The sequence below is a fragment of the Homo sapiens genome, chromosome 7 (genome assembly GCF_000001405.40).
Source record: "Homo sapiens chromosome 7, GRCh38.p14 Primary Assembly".
NCBI classification, from domain to species: Eukaryota; Metazoa; Chordata; class Mammalia; order Primates; family Hominidae; genus Homo; species Homo sapiens.
The window spans coordinates 122,372,243-122,387,351 of NC_000007.14; the positions used below are offsets into that span (position 1 = coordinate 122,372,243).

Here is a 15,109-nt window from a genome sequence, read left to right on the forward strand (position 1 = left end):
TCACATACAGAGCTGGGAATCACAAGCATAGAGTTAAAGCTGGAAGTGGAAAAGTCACAGAAATTTGTAGAAAAAGTTCAATAGAGGACCAATGATGGTGGCCCAAGAAGTAACAGCATTTAGTTGCCAGTGGAGAGAGAAGGGCACAGAGAGGGAAGGCCAAGACCTTTTCTAGGCACATAAAATGTGTATATAGTAGGGAGGGACACATACTGTTTAGTACTGTGTGTGATTGAGAACTTGGGCTCGTTCTCATGTTATTTGTGGAAATATGTGAGGTAAGAAGAGGATCTAAAGGTAGCCTTGAAGAGGAGAGGTAAAAAGAAGAAAGTGCAGTTTATTTTTATCCAGATGTAGCAAATATATTTGTGAATATGCACAGAACAATTAAAATATTGAAAGAAATATCTGGGATACGAGAAATTCACTGTTATTTTCATCTACTTTATGTTGAGTTAATTATTATGATATAAAAATGTCTACGACATGACTCTTAGAATTTGACAGTGTAGTAACAGTTAATATAGAAACCGCATATTTTAATTTTTATGGGCTGGTTGCTCTTTACAGATTTCCCAGAGACGTAGAATCAGTTAAGTGCATTGGATTAAGGATCTGAAGCTCAGAGGTTTGGATCCTGATTCTCACTAATTAATTAGGTGTTTGATGCTCATCAGTTTAATAAAGGACTTTGAGAACTATGTTCCTATCAGTGACTGAGGATAAGACTGCCCATTTCATTAGAGGCAGAGTCACAATATATAATTTTATGCAAACTACTTTATTCTATGTTCATTTCATAGGTTTTATAAGGCTTAAATAAAGTCACAAATGTACAGTTACAGTGGCAGTTTCACAGTAGGTACTTCATAACTCTTTTAAAAAAGTCATTTCTTCCTTGGTAAAAACAAGTGTGAACAAACTGTCTTATAGGCTATTTTTTTTTTAATATCCTGAAGTTTAAAGGTTTACATGCCAGTCTGGATGAAGATTCACCAGAGCAGTGTTTCTCAAAGTCTGGCTCATGGTTCCCTATTGTAAAATAACCATGGTGGCTGGTTAAACATGCACATTCCTTCCCCTCTTCCCAAACTTAAGACTCAGCATCACTGGAGATTGGGGTATGGAAATCTGCATTTTAACAGTTCTCAGGTAATTTTTTTGTGTATGTGTGCTAACATTTAAGAATCATTGCCTTACAAGATGTTTTAGTTTTTCTTAATGAAATAAAACCACAATCTATCCTGCCTGTGGACCCTGGTATCACGCCTGCCCAAAGGCCCTAACAGCTGGCCCACACAACATTTCTAGCTGGGGTGAGTGATCCAGGGCTTTTCCTGCTGAAGTCAATCGGTAAATAGTGGAAAAGGTCACTGTTTTTCCAAAGGTGCAGATACCAATGTAAGGCTACAGGGATCATGAAGAATCAGGGAAACATGACACCATCAAAAGAATAAAATAAAGCTGACCAATAACAAATAAGGAGACTCAATCTGTATTCAAAAACCTCTCAACAAAGAAATGGCTTCAAAAGTGAATTCTACCAAACATTTAAAGAAGTGAATTCCACCAAACATTTAAAGAAGAATTAATGCCAATTCTCTTTAAACACTACCAAAAAAAACCCCAAAAAACAGAAGAGGGAACACTTCCAAACTTATTCTATGAGGCCAGCATCACCCTGATACCAAAGCCAGACAAAAGATACTGCCAGAAAAGAAAACTATAAGCCAAGATAAACATGGATACAAAAATCTTCAACAAAATACTAGCAAACTGAATTCAACAGCACATTAAAAAATCATACACCATCACCAAATGAGATTGATCCCTAGGATCCAAGGATGTTTGAATATAAGCAAGTCAGTTGTTATGACACACCACATTAATAGAATGAAGGATAAAAATCACCAAGATCATCTCCATAGATGCAGAAAAACACTTGACAAAACTAAGTAATGTTTCATGATAAAAGCATTCAAAATATTAGGAACAGAATGAAATTATCTCGACATAATAAAGGCTATATGAAAAGCTCACAGTTGACATCATATTCAGTGGTGAAAAAATAACTTTTTTCTCTAAGATACAGCATGAGACAAGGATGCCCACACTTACCACTTCTATTCAACATAGTACTGGGAGTCCTAGCCAAAGTAAGTAGACAAATAAAATAAAATAAAATAAAATAAATAAGTAAAGAAGAAAAAGAAAAGAAATACAAGGCATGCAAATCAGGAAAGAACAAGTAAAATTATCTCTGTTTGCAGATTACATGATCTTAATATGTAGAAAACCCTAAAGACTCTACAAAAAAGAACTGTTAGAATAAACAAATTCAGTAAAGTTGCAGAAAAAAAATCACAGACAAACTATCACAAGATCAGAAAACCAAACACCGCATGTTCTCACTTGTAAATGGGAGTTGAACGAGAAAACATGGACACAGGGAGGAGAACATCATATACTGGGGCCTGTCGGGGGCTGTGGGGATAGGGGAGGGCTAACATTAGGAGAGATACCTAATGTAGGTGACGAGCTGATGGGTGCAACAACCACTATGGCAGGTGTATACCTATGTAGCAAAAGTGCACATTCTGCACATGTATCCCAGAACTTAAAGTATAATTTTAAAAAGTCATTCATATATCTGTATACTAACAATGCACTATTTGGAAAGGAAGTTCAGAAAACAATCTCATCTACAATAGCATCAAAAATAATGCAGTACTTAGAAATATACTTAACCAAGAAGGCAAAAAATGTGTACACTGAAAAGTATAAAACACTGAAGACATTAAAGCAGACAACAAATAAATAAAAAAATCCCATGTTCATGAATTACAATAATTATTATAGTCAAAATGTCCATACTACTTAAAGTGATCTACATATTTAATGCAATCTCTATCAAAATCCTAATGGCATTTTTTTTAAAGTAACAGAAAAAGCAATCCAATCCTAAAATTCATCTGGAACCACAAAAAGCTTCAAATAACCAAAACAATTCCGAGCAAAAGAATAAATTGGAGGCACCACACTTCCTAATTTCAAAATCTATTACAAAGCTAAAATAATCAAAAAAGTAAACAATGTTAACTTTTTTAAGTAAACTTTTTAATGTAAACAACGTTACTGGCATAAAAGCAGATGTATAGGCCAATAGAACAAAACAGAGAGCTCAGAAATAAACCCACACACATACGGTCAACTGATCTTTGACAAGAGTGTCAAGAGAAAAGGATGGTTTCTTCAATAAATAGTGCTGGGAAAAGTGGATGTACACATACAAAAGAATAAAAGAATAAAAGTTGACCCTTATCTTACAACATAAACAAATGGATCAACAAAACCATCAACTAAACACCATCAAGTAAAAATGGATTAAATAACTTAAGACCTCAAACCATAAAACTTCTAGAATAAAACATAGGGAAAAAGTTTCTTGACATTGGCCGTAGCAATGACTTCTTGGCTATGATACAAAAAGCACAGGCAACAAAATATTTTTTAAAATGAGATTATATCAAGTAAAACAGCTTTTGCACAGCAAGGGAAACAATCAACATAATGAAAAGGCAACCTACAAAATGGGAGGAAATGTTTACAAACTATTTGTCTGATAAGGAGTTGACATCTAAAACTCAATAGCCAAAAAAAAAAAATTAAAAATTAAAAAAATGAGCAAAGCACTACATCTCTAATGAACATGTATAAATGGCCAACAGGTATACGAAAAGGAGCTTAACATCACTAATCTTTGGAGAAATGCAAATCAAAATCACAGTGAGATATTAGCTCACATCTGTTTGGATGGCTATTATCAACAACCCAAAAGATAACAGGTATTAGTGAGAATGTGAAGAAAATGCCCACTGTTGGTGGATATGTAAATTGGTGTAGCCACTATGGGAAATAGTGTGTAGAATCCTCAAAACATGAAAAATAGAACTACCATATGATTTAGCGATCCCATTAATGGGTATATAGCCAAAGGAATTGAAATTAGTATATCAGAGAGATATCTGCACTCTCATTTCTTTGCAGCATTCTTCTCAATAGGCAAGACTTGGAAGCAACTTTAATATCCATGAGACAGGTGAATGGATAATTAAAATGAGTTATGTGCATATAATGAAATATTATTCAGCCTCAAAAGAAGGAAATCCTGCCACTTGAGACAAACAGATGAACCTGGAATATATTATGCTCTGTGAAATAATTCAGACACAGAAGATTAAATATTACATAGTACCAATTATATGAGGAATTTAAAATAGTCAAAATAACAGAAGCAGAGGGTAAAATGTTGGTTTCTCAGGGACTGAGGGGAGGGAGAAATGGAGAGATATTTGTCAAAAGCAGTCTCAGTTATGCATGATGAATAAGTCCTGGAGAGCTACTGTACAGCATAGGGCCTATAGAAAACAACACTATTTGCTAAGAGGATTGATCTTATGTGACTGTTATCACACACAGAAATAATTATTTAAGAGGGCTGGAGGAAACTTTGGGAGGTGATGGATACGTTTATGGTACAGTTTGAGGTGATGGTTTTATGATTATAAACTTATATGGTTGTATACTTACCTACAAACTCATCTTGTATATATTAAGCATGTACAATTTTTCTGTCTGTTAATATCTCAATAAAATGGTTTTAAAAATATCATAATTATGGAGATTAATTTGCATCATCTTTTTAAAAAACATCAATTATTGTCATCTCTTATAGAAGCTTGAGATGTTTGGTTCAACCTATCAAGTAAACTTATTTTATACTTTTCAACCAAAGAATTAAAGATAAGTACGATTTGACAGCAGGAGAAATTAGGCATAGAGGAAAACTATAACCTAGTGCTGATTTCTAAATATAATATCCAGTATTATACGAGGCTCTTTTAATCAAAATTAAATTAAAAATTTAATTTCTCAGCTTCACTAGCCACATTTCAAGTACTCCACAACCACATGTGGCTAGTAGCCACTGGTGGACTGTGCAGGTTATTTTAGAATATCTTTTCCTTACTTAGCTCAAATACACTATTTTTAAAATTAACCTGATGTATTTGATATAGAAAAATTTAAGTGTCTTACTTTGCCAGAAATGGATGCAGAGATGACATGCAGCCCCATCTGCCTTCTCTGTACTCTTCCTTCCCACTCCCAAAGCAAAACTTGCTGGACTTTTTCCTTGCTGCCTGATAAACCTTATATCATCTATAGCTAGCATGTAATTGAATGATGCCGATTATGCAAACTTCTCACAAAAGGCAACTTCCGCATGAGGACTATGTTCACGGGTTGGTTATATCTGGATAAAATTTCCCTGAAGGCCTCACAGAGAAGAAGGTGCAAAGTTAACTTTATTTCACTGTAGTGCGTTGACTGCGTGGTGATGCAAGCTGCTGTGCTGGGCTCCTCAGAGGGTGGAAATCTCACTGCTCTTCCTCAAAGAACTTGATTCTCCAGTAGTTCACCCCTTCCCCCCATGGTTTTCCTATTATTTTTTTCTCTATCTATCCACTTGTTGGTGAGTGTGTGAGGTATCTGTATCTGTAGGTATTTGGTGCAGTGGTAAAAATCAGGAGAACAAAAATAAGCTGGTGAGGTGGTGTGATTCTAACATCGTTTTTCTTTGTGGTTGTTTTCCACTCTAAGACATGCCATGAGATAATTTGAAAACTACAAAAAAAATGAAGATGAAATGAAAAATGAACTATACTCCCATTACCCAGAGAAAAGCTCTGTTAACATTCTGGTGTTTATCCTAACAGTCTTTTTCCTATAAGATGCAAATTCAGATCATATTTTACACTTTTAAATATTCAGCTGTTTTCACTTAATACTATATTACGAAACTCTTCATTTATCATTAATAGTCTTTGAAAGTATCATTTCTTAATACAGATGTCCCATAATTTGCTTTACCTTTTCCCTCATTAGAAATTAAGGTTGTTTCCAAATATTGGTAAGACATAATGTGACAAGTACCAATAATATATATTTTGTGCATCTAAGCAGTATGACAAAATAGAAAAAGGTGAAAAGGTATTAATGTACTTGATGTATTTCCAAACTATTTTCCAGAAAGGCTGTAACAATTTATACTCCCCTATGTAGGAAAGGTGAGTGTCTTGCCTCACCTGAAACTGAATGTTACTTTAAAAACATGTATGCTAATTTGCTAGAGAAAATAGTATACTATTGTAGCTTACTTTGCATTCCTTAAATTATTAATGAGGATTAACATTTTTCATGTTCATGGGGCAGCTCTATTTTTTCTTTTCTAAACAGGATGTCTTTTGTCTGTTTATTAAATTGGGGGCGGTTTTACCTTTGCTTCTTGTCATCCTTCCAGTTGTTTTATGAAGAAGCCTGATTTGGGGCTTTTTGATGAAGCCTTGTGAGAGCATGGGATATATCTGCTTATAGGAAAGTGCCTCTAGGAACATGACCATTCTCTCTGTTCATCCTCTTAAACTCCTGGTGCTCTCATGTTCTCTCTTCCTTTCCTTATCAGCCCCCGATCTCATATGCTACTCATGACCATCTGTTACACCTTAGAGGGAATCTAAATCATCTAATCACTAAATGATGCGCCCACTGCTTCATCTCTACTTATACAGTGAAAGATCATCGCTTTCATCAAAGGTATTTTGAGCATCAAATTGGAAATCCTGGGAAACTCCTGGGCGTGGAGGACCTCAGATGTCACCCTGCAGCTTTCTCTGTCTCTGAGAACAGATCTAGAGCCTTAGTGCCATCGCCACTACAGATGGGCTAAATTCAAGGACTGATGACTACTCAAGGCTGCTATGGAGTTAAAATAAATAGCATAAGAACATGAATGTGACACAATAAGGTTTTACTGGAAGAAGAGTTAGTTTTAAAATGACAACAATTGTAGGAAAAGCCAAAATTTATTATATACAAAAAAACAAAAGCTGTTGACATAGTGTTCCTAACCTTTTTTTGCTCCCAACTTTTCTGAAAATTCTAATTTTTTCCTGCCCTAATCTTTTAAACTACATTTTTTCTCAATTAGATATTTAAAAACATTAAAAAATTCTCCATTGACAATTTTTCACTTTGATTTAAAAAGGTGAATAAATAATACATTACCTTTGAAACTAACAGTGAAATGATTTCTTTTACACTGTTGTCGATCAGATCATCTATTTTTGAATGGTACTGTTGCTAGATATTAAAAGATAAAAACTCATTAGTTGACATGGACACAAAACTTTTGTCATCAGTCATAAATGCTCTAAATCTACTAGTTATGACCTATCAGATTTATTTAAAATGATCATTTAGAACATTAAAAGAACAAAACCTTGAAAATGATCCACCCAGTCAACACTTTTTACATTGTGGTTTGAAAATTTTCCCATGTGCACTGTTGAGTTAAGCAGCTAATGGGGTTATTATTTAGATGAATTGAGTTCTTATTCTTATTCAGGCAGAGGAATGTGAAGGATACTTTTTGTCTTCTCCTCTATAATTAAGGTGGCCATGTATTTTTCTAAAGGGTTGGTTTAGCTGGAGAAGCAAAAAGACTAGAAAAAGATTTAATTAATACTGCATTTCATGTCTGACAACTCTCATTCATAAGTTATTTTAAATGTGCTCTAGAAATAAAATGAGCTCCCAATTGTTCACTCTAAAAGGACTTTTTGTCAGCACAGGGAGCAGCAGTTTATACAATTCTTACAATATGCTCGAGCAAGGGCAAAATTAGAATTTCATCAACAAAGGTGAATAGATGGTAACAAATTAATAGGCCATAAAAGGTATAATGAAACATCACTCACTCCCCATAGTTTTATTACCGCTTCCTCATGAAAAAGATGCCTTTAAATAAATACCAAAAAAAGATGTATTTAAAATCAACCTGAAAGACTTTTTTTTTTCTTTCTTTAGAGAATACTAGAGGGCTCCATTCTTAAATTAGCAGAAGCTTTGGCTTCCAAGGCTTGTGAAGGCACATCCATTTAAACAGTAATTCTTCCTTTAGAAGCATTTATCTGACAACTGATTGTCCCCAATAGCCACTTCACAGAAAATGTGACTTGTAAAGACTAACCCTATCTTGATGGTTCAAGGCTTCTTGGAACAGCTAACAAAATGCATAGAGTAAAAGTACTCAGGTCAATATAAACATTAGACCAACTTCACTGCTGGTTGAATGGTTTCTTAAGATGTAAGTTTTTGAAAGCTATTTTTTTTTTTTGTGCTGAAAACATGTCTCAAAGTTTCCACACAGTACAAAACATCAACTTAGGTCTGCTTTGGAATACTCAGGAATGACACTCCACCCCTCTCCCCAAGGGTTCTGACAGTTACAAGTGGTTATCATAAACCTGCATAAATAATAAAGAAAGGAAGGATAATTTTGGAGTGTCTGAATTATTTTCTTTTTCTGTGTGAGTCTGAGTGTGTGTGGGTGTGAATATAAGTGCATAATGATGAGTGATCTAAAATTAACCACACTGATGTGAATGTGGAATTTTCTGGGCACATATTGCACCCACTAAAGCATGTCTGTCTCACTTAAAGCCTTTATTGATTCCCAAGTTTGTGCTCCCCAGAGGATAAATGGAATTGAAACATAGAGAGTGGATTTCTATTCCAGTAGTGCTGATATTTTTGCTTTCGAGATAGCTTGAAGAGAAGGAAAACGGGAGAGAAAAGGGGAGAGAAGACAGAAAAACAGGTAGAAGAAAAAGAGCCTGAAAAAGCTGGCTGGCAGTTAAACTTCTGATCCAGTCTAAATTATTAATAATTTTCTGAGCCAGACAGGTCCACACATGAACATATCTGAGACCAGCTGAACAATTCCAGTGCACTGGCTGATGGGTAGGGTAATCCCTCCACAGACACACTTACAAAAAAGGCCCCCCAGCTCCTGGCTGAAAGCTGTGCAGCTGACTGTGCGATGGAGAAGCTTATGCAAATGAGCTCTGCCTGGCTCTCCCACTCTGCCACTCTTGTTTCACGTCCTTCTTGCTCCAGATCAGTGTATTCAGCAAGAGGAAATTAAATGCCACGTGATACACCTCTTTAGGGGTAGAAGAGGAAAGAGATACAGGAGTTGGGCTTCAAGCATCTCACTTCCCTCTTACATGGAAAGTGCTCCAAAGCATGCAGGCATTGAGGCACCCAGACTTCCAGGCAGGTTCCTAAACATGCCTTATCCCCAATGTTTTTCTCTGTTTTCATAACTTCCATTTTTTGAATTCAAAGTGATCAAATGTCATCAGAAAGCTATTGTATATAAAATACAGAGCTTCTACATGTTAAACTTTTGGGTTGAATTGATTCTGGCAAATCTTAAAATCAAGGGACGAGCCACAAAAGAGGTCATTGATACCCATTTTCTTGAAAAGCAGTGAAAGTCAGTGGACACTAGGAACCATTAAATTCTCCTATAATACACTCCCGTAGATTGTTGCTTGCTTTGATACCTGATCTAGCCATAAGCAGAGACAAAGAGAAAAAGAGGAAGAGATGGGGAGGGAGGGAGAGAAAATGAGAATGAATGAACAAAAACAAACACATACAATGTTAAAAACAAAGGAATAAAGAAGTATACATCTGAAATTTAATACCCAAGGGGTAAATCCAAATAGTGTGAGGTTTTTAGATTTGCATAATATGGGATTCTGCTATTGTAAATGTATCTGGTTAGATATGACTTACACTAATATTACAACTGCTGGGAACTTTCAGAATCTGCTCTGGCTGTGCAGTTGGTGGAGGTCGTATAGGCACATGAGTGTGAGAGAAAAGATGGCCCGAGAATTCCCATTTTACATATATATTCTGCAGACAATAACTCACATATGCCATACATAGGTATACAAAATTAGCTAGAAAAAGTCATTCATTAGGGGACCCAGGTAACTTTCTTTTTCTTCTTCTGTGTTTTTTAATCCTTGCTAAAAAATGTATTAAATAATGTATTTCAGGAAAATGACAAATTAACATAAAAGGAAGTTGTAGAATGAAGGAACAAGGATGAAACCAGAAATTGAAATATGTCAATAAATGTAATTAATGATTATCTGTAAAAGTAATATTTGTGTGTGCACGCATTTAAAATAAGGCAAGTCAAAAACTGCCAAAATAACAATGGTTATTGTGTGTTCATCTGGGGTGGGTACAGGAGTGTTCAGTGGATGGTTAAAACATTCTAAGATCAGTGGTGTGCTTAAACTAGTTCATAAAAGCAGCTTTTTAGAAATTTTCAGATAACTTTCAAAGACAAACATGAACATGCAAAAAGAGATCACAGGTAAAAGTTTATCTGCATAGACATTTTTAAGTTAAAATTGATAGGTTTTTTTTCCCATTTAGTATAACAGACAACATTTTTGGTACATTAATGTTTCCAACAATAAAAACCTATAAAATTTTTATCAGAGGCTGGGCATGGTGGCTCATGTCTGTAATCCCAGCACTTTAGGAAGTCAAGGTGGGAGGATCGCCTGAGCCTGAGTTCAAGGTTGCAGTGAGCTATGAATATGCCACTGCACTTCAGCATGGGCAACAGAAGGAGACAAAAAAAGAAAAAATACTGAGAAAAGGTAATGCTTATACACTGTTGGTGGGAATGTAAATTAATTCAGCCACTGTGGAAAGCAGTTTGAAGATTTCTCAAAGAACTTAAGACAGAGCTACCATTTGAATCAGCAATCCCATTACTGGGTACATATCCAAAGGAACACAGATCACTAAACCAAACAAACGAAAACAAAAACAAAAACAAAAACCACTTGAACTTGTATGTTCATTGCCATGCTATTCACAGTAGCAAAGACATGAAATCAACCTAGGTGTCCATCAATGGTAGACCAGATAAAGAAAATATGGTACATATACACCATGGAATACTAGACAGCCATAAAAAAGTACAAAATCATATCCTTTGCAGCCACATGGATGCAGCTGGAGGCTATAATCCTAAGTAAATTAACACAGGAACAGAAAATCAGATACTGCATGTTCTCACTTATAAGTGAGAATTAAACACTGAGAACACACGGACATAAACATGGGAACAACAGACACTGTGGACTAGTAGAGGGGAGAGGGAGGGAGGGAGATGTGGATGGAAAAACGACCTATTGAGTACTATGCTCAATACCCAGGTGTAACAAAACTACACATGTACCCCCATATCGACAACAAAAGTTGAAATTTAAAAGAAGAAAATAAAATTCTTCGAATACTTCAAGTTGGATTGATAATCTTAGATTCTAGGGCTTTGTTAGATTTCAATTCATTCTTAAGTTAAGTTTCTCCACATCTGCCCTCAAAGGCAAACTGTGCCTGCTTTCCCGCAGGTGATTCTGAACTTACATTAAGATAACCATTCAGGAATCCTTACTTCATGAAGCCCAGGGAAATCACAGGTCAGACACAGTCCAAAATCCTGGCCTCTCTACAATCAGGTGAACAGCACCACTTCACCTGACTGCTGTTACACAAAGACACTCATGAAATGGCTAATCAGATGCCAGTGAATTCCAGCTTTCTTAAAAGATTTTGGACCTTGTCTTGGGGTATATAATATTTTAAAGGTACTGGATTGTTAGTTCCAGAAATGGATGCATTTTAATTTAACTGAGAACAAATTTGGCCCAAGTAGGGCCCCTTGCTCCCCCGAATTGCCATATTAATGTGTTTTCACCTTCATCCTCAACTAATGGGACCATGGAATGAAGTGGTTCTGAGGGCTGATGAATGCCTACAGCCCAGGTAGTCATCTGCTTTTGTGCAGTTACGGATAATGAGGATTCTAAACACTGAGGTGGCTTTGTGATCTCGACATCTGTCCCTGAGGGACTGGCCTGAGACTGCTGACTCATTTCACACAGCTGTCACATGAGCAGATCATTCACCCACTAATCACTCCATTAAACCCTATTCTGGGCCTCAGTGGAACATGTTTGCATCATCATGTAGCATGTAAGAAAAACAGGATCATAATTTAGAAGCACAGAAGGGAATGCATTGTGAGGAAGGAGTTGGGAAAGTTTTATCCCAGCGATGACAATATAACACATTTACTAGAGATTTTGGAGAGGTAATTTCTTTATAATTTAGAAAAAACATTGCTGCTATGTTTAACTATGTAGTATATATTTTTACATGGTTCCAAATTGTCTAATGATCTAGTTTTTTTCAACAACTTTGTTGCTTTTTATAAATGAGGTCCGCTGGCTCACCTGTATATGTAATGTATATACTAATTTTCAACAATTCCGAAACTTATCTCAGCATATATACAGAGGGAAGGCCTATGCAATTATGTGGGTATGTTTACTGGAGAGAAAAAGCGAAGTATAAAATTCTTTTGCAATGAAATTCTTGTTTACCACTTTTTCAGGGTTGCTAATGGGTTTTACACCTGCACATTCTGAACTATGTTAATTGTGTGAAAGTTGTGGGGAACTAATTGTCTCTGGTGTGAATGTACAGGTGCACACATAATGAACAGTAGTAGATTACTCTTCAAAACCACCCACCTATTAATGTAAAGAATCATTTGACAATGTAACAATGTTCATCATTTGTGTGTGTGTGTGCCTGTTTTTCCTTTTAAGTACTACAGCAAGTTGTTTCTTACAGGGGAGGATTTTTAAAGCAGTGACAACAAATCTGTTCATCCACTCAGCAAACATTTACTAAAGTGCCTACTGCATGTCAGGTACTGCAGTGTATGTTAAAATAAGAACAAACGGATAAACCCAGTATGAATGGAAGATGATTCCACAAACCAGATGAGAAAAGAATGGGTTTATGAGGAAACCTAAGATAATATTCTCAGGCAGACAATCAAAGGCTTACATCTGGTTATTAAAAAAACATGAGGAGGTAAATAGGAGCCACTGGTATCTAAGCTAGCTGCCTACTTATTCAGATAATTAGATATAATAAATCATGTTGTAAGTGATCAGAGAATGGTAATTACTGAACATTCTATAACACATATCAGTTACCTGATATATGTGTAAGGTTGTATGCTATGGTAATATAAATACATTTTTTTTTCTGCTGAATTGCTCAAAGAATAAAATTGTGTATTCATGCATAAATATAAATTATGGCCAAATAGCTAATGTCTATACCTGGGGCAATAGGTATAGAATTCACAAGTAGTAGGCCTTCCCATCTATTTTCACAGTTAACTAAGCCCCTCTGCTTAGATGAGAATTGTCAGCCCAGGAAGAGTCACCCTGAGTTTGATTCCCAATTGTCAACTGTAAGACTTGTAAGATGTAACTTACCTACAGGACACAAAGACATTCTAACTCACGACAAAAAAAAAAGTATACACTAGTCAATCCTTTACGCATAAAGGTTTTCTAACCTTGTACCTCAGGGATTCTGGGGTAGTATTTTAGGACGAACTGTTGTGGAGGAGGGCAGAAGTCTCATGACACAGGCCTGCCTCTTCCTTACCTCTGATGATGGTCACATCCTAGGCCATGAGTGGGAGGAAAGACTGTATCACTGGTGGGCTTGTACCTCACTGAAATCCACCACTGGGTTCATCTGTATGAAGTGACTTTGGGTGTGGCCTCCTGGTTCAAGTTTTTAGGGGCTATATGTCATCTAAAGCTCCAAACTTGAAATTCTTTTGGTATTAAAAGTATACTGTAGATAAATGCTTGAAAAATGTTAATTATCACTCTGCTCCTATAGTTATTCAGATTTCAATTTAAAAGAAGGTGAATTAATTTGGTTTTAAATAATTTTATCTTTAAAATTCTAAGAGGAGTTTATAAATTCTGCAGACTAACAGGGGAGAAACATTTCCCTCGTCATTATTTAAGGTATAAGTATTTAGTGTTTTCATGAATCTTTGGACTATTGCTATGTTATTGTAAGCTGTTAGCCTTATATATGCGAACACAGAAGCCAAAAATCTGAAAATAAATTTATATAATTTTAATTTGAAAAGATGAAAATAAAAAATATACATTTACAAAAATAATAACTCAAATGAAATGTGCTTTTAGAAAAAAAAATGAGACTTACCCATTGACTACCAAACTGGATCATGCCATGGGTGGAAAAAAAAAGATGATGAAAGAGAACAGAAGGGAAGAATAAAGAAATGAAGAAAAAGTAATTACAATGGGAAAAAAAGGCAACAAAATCAACTTAAAACAGATAATTGAAGAAAAATAAATCAATTTTCACCCAATCACCACTCTCAACAAAAAATCATGGGGTAAAATAAAATTGTACTTCTGAATATAAAACCAAACAAAATATAAATAAAATAGAAAGAATAGGATATTTATTGATAAGAACTAGGCCTAGATTTTTAAGTCTATTTCAACCTAAATTTTTAAAAATGGAAGCTACTGTGTAAATAAACTATTTCACACTTTTTCGTGTGTCTTACTTTTATAGATGCAAACTCTGGATACTCTAGATTTGTATAAACAAAACAGGTAGCTTTCCAGCTTTCTCATTTGCTTGTAAAAAGCAAGGTTTATGTAAATGACACAACACTTCAGCTGTTAAAAGCTATATCTAAAATTCATGGCCACTAATGCAATTTTAGACCATATTTATATCAAAAAGGAGAAACTGACATGAGCAAAGGATAAAGGGCATTCTGTTATTATAGTAAAGATCAAACGTTTGGTGCTAGAGAACTTGGTCTTTTCAATCCAATCAAGAGAATGCCTTGTGGAAAGGGCATTTCCCATGCCAAGGCACCCTGTGCTGCCTTTCCCCATGTGGCACATTCTACATACCTCTTGTCCTCCATCCAGGGCACAGAGTTTGGTGCTTTGCTTTTTGGCATCGACTAATACATTAAACATAGTGCAAACGGAAGCTGGAATGCGCAAGTCAGTTGTTTTGCTTGCCTTTTGTAGCTTGAGTTCAAATGCAGTTCTTGTTCTAGTTTTTAAAACATGAATTCAGAGTAAGAAATTCTGCTATACAGCTCACCTGTTTTGTAAAAAGTGAAATCAACACTACAAGATGCTAATTTAAAACATGCAAATAAGGAGTAAGCAGTGTGGCAGTGCTTGGGAGCTAAGGGGTGGGATGCTTTTCTTTTCAAGTGTCTCAATGA

The 15,109-nt window shown here is 35.5% G+C and overlaps 1 protein-coding gene across 29 annotated transcripts in view; it reads right to left on the reverse strand.

The window, feature by feature from the left end:
• Positions 1 to 15,109, reverse strand: part of CADPS2 (calcium dependent secretion activator 2) — a 568,050-nt gene that overhangs the window by 53,832 nt on the left and 499,109 nt on the right. For 15 of the 29 annotated variants that reach the window (NM_001363398.2, XM_047421032.1, XM_005250702.6 and 12 more), the window contains 2 exons: positions 14,784 to 14,931; positions 7,126 to 7,200 (listed from right to left, as the gene is read on the reverse strand). In NM_001363398.2, coding sequence (NP_001350327.1) covers positions 7,126 to 7,200; positions 14,784 to 14,931 — 223 coding nt within the window. Of the gene's footprint in view, positions 1 to 7,125; positions 7,201 to 14,052; positions 14,068 to 14,783; positions 14,932 to 15,109 lie in introns of all 29 variants that reach the window. The other 14 variants (NM_001009571.4, XM_017012794.3, XM_047421031.1 and 11 more) reach the window with 1 other exon arrangement.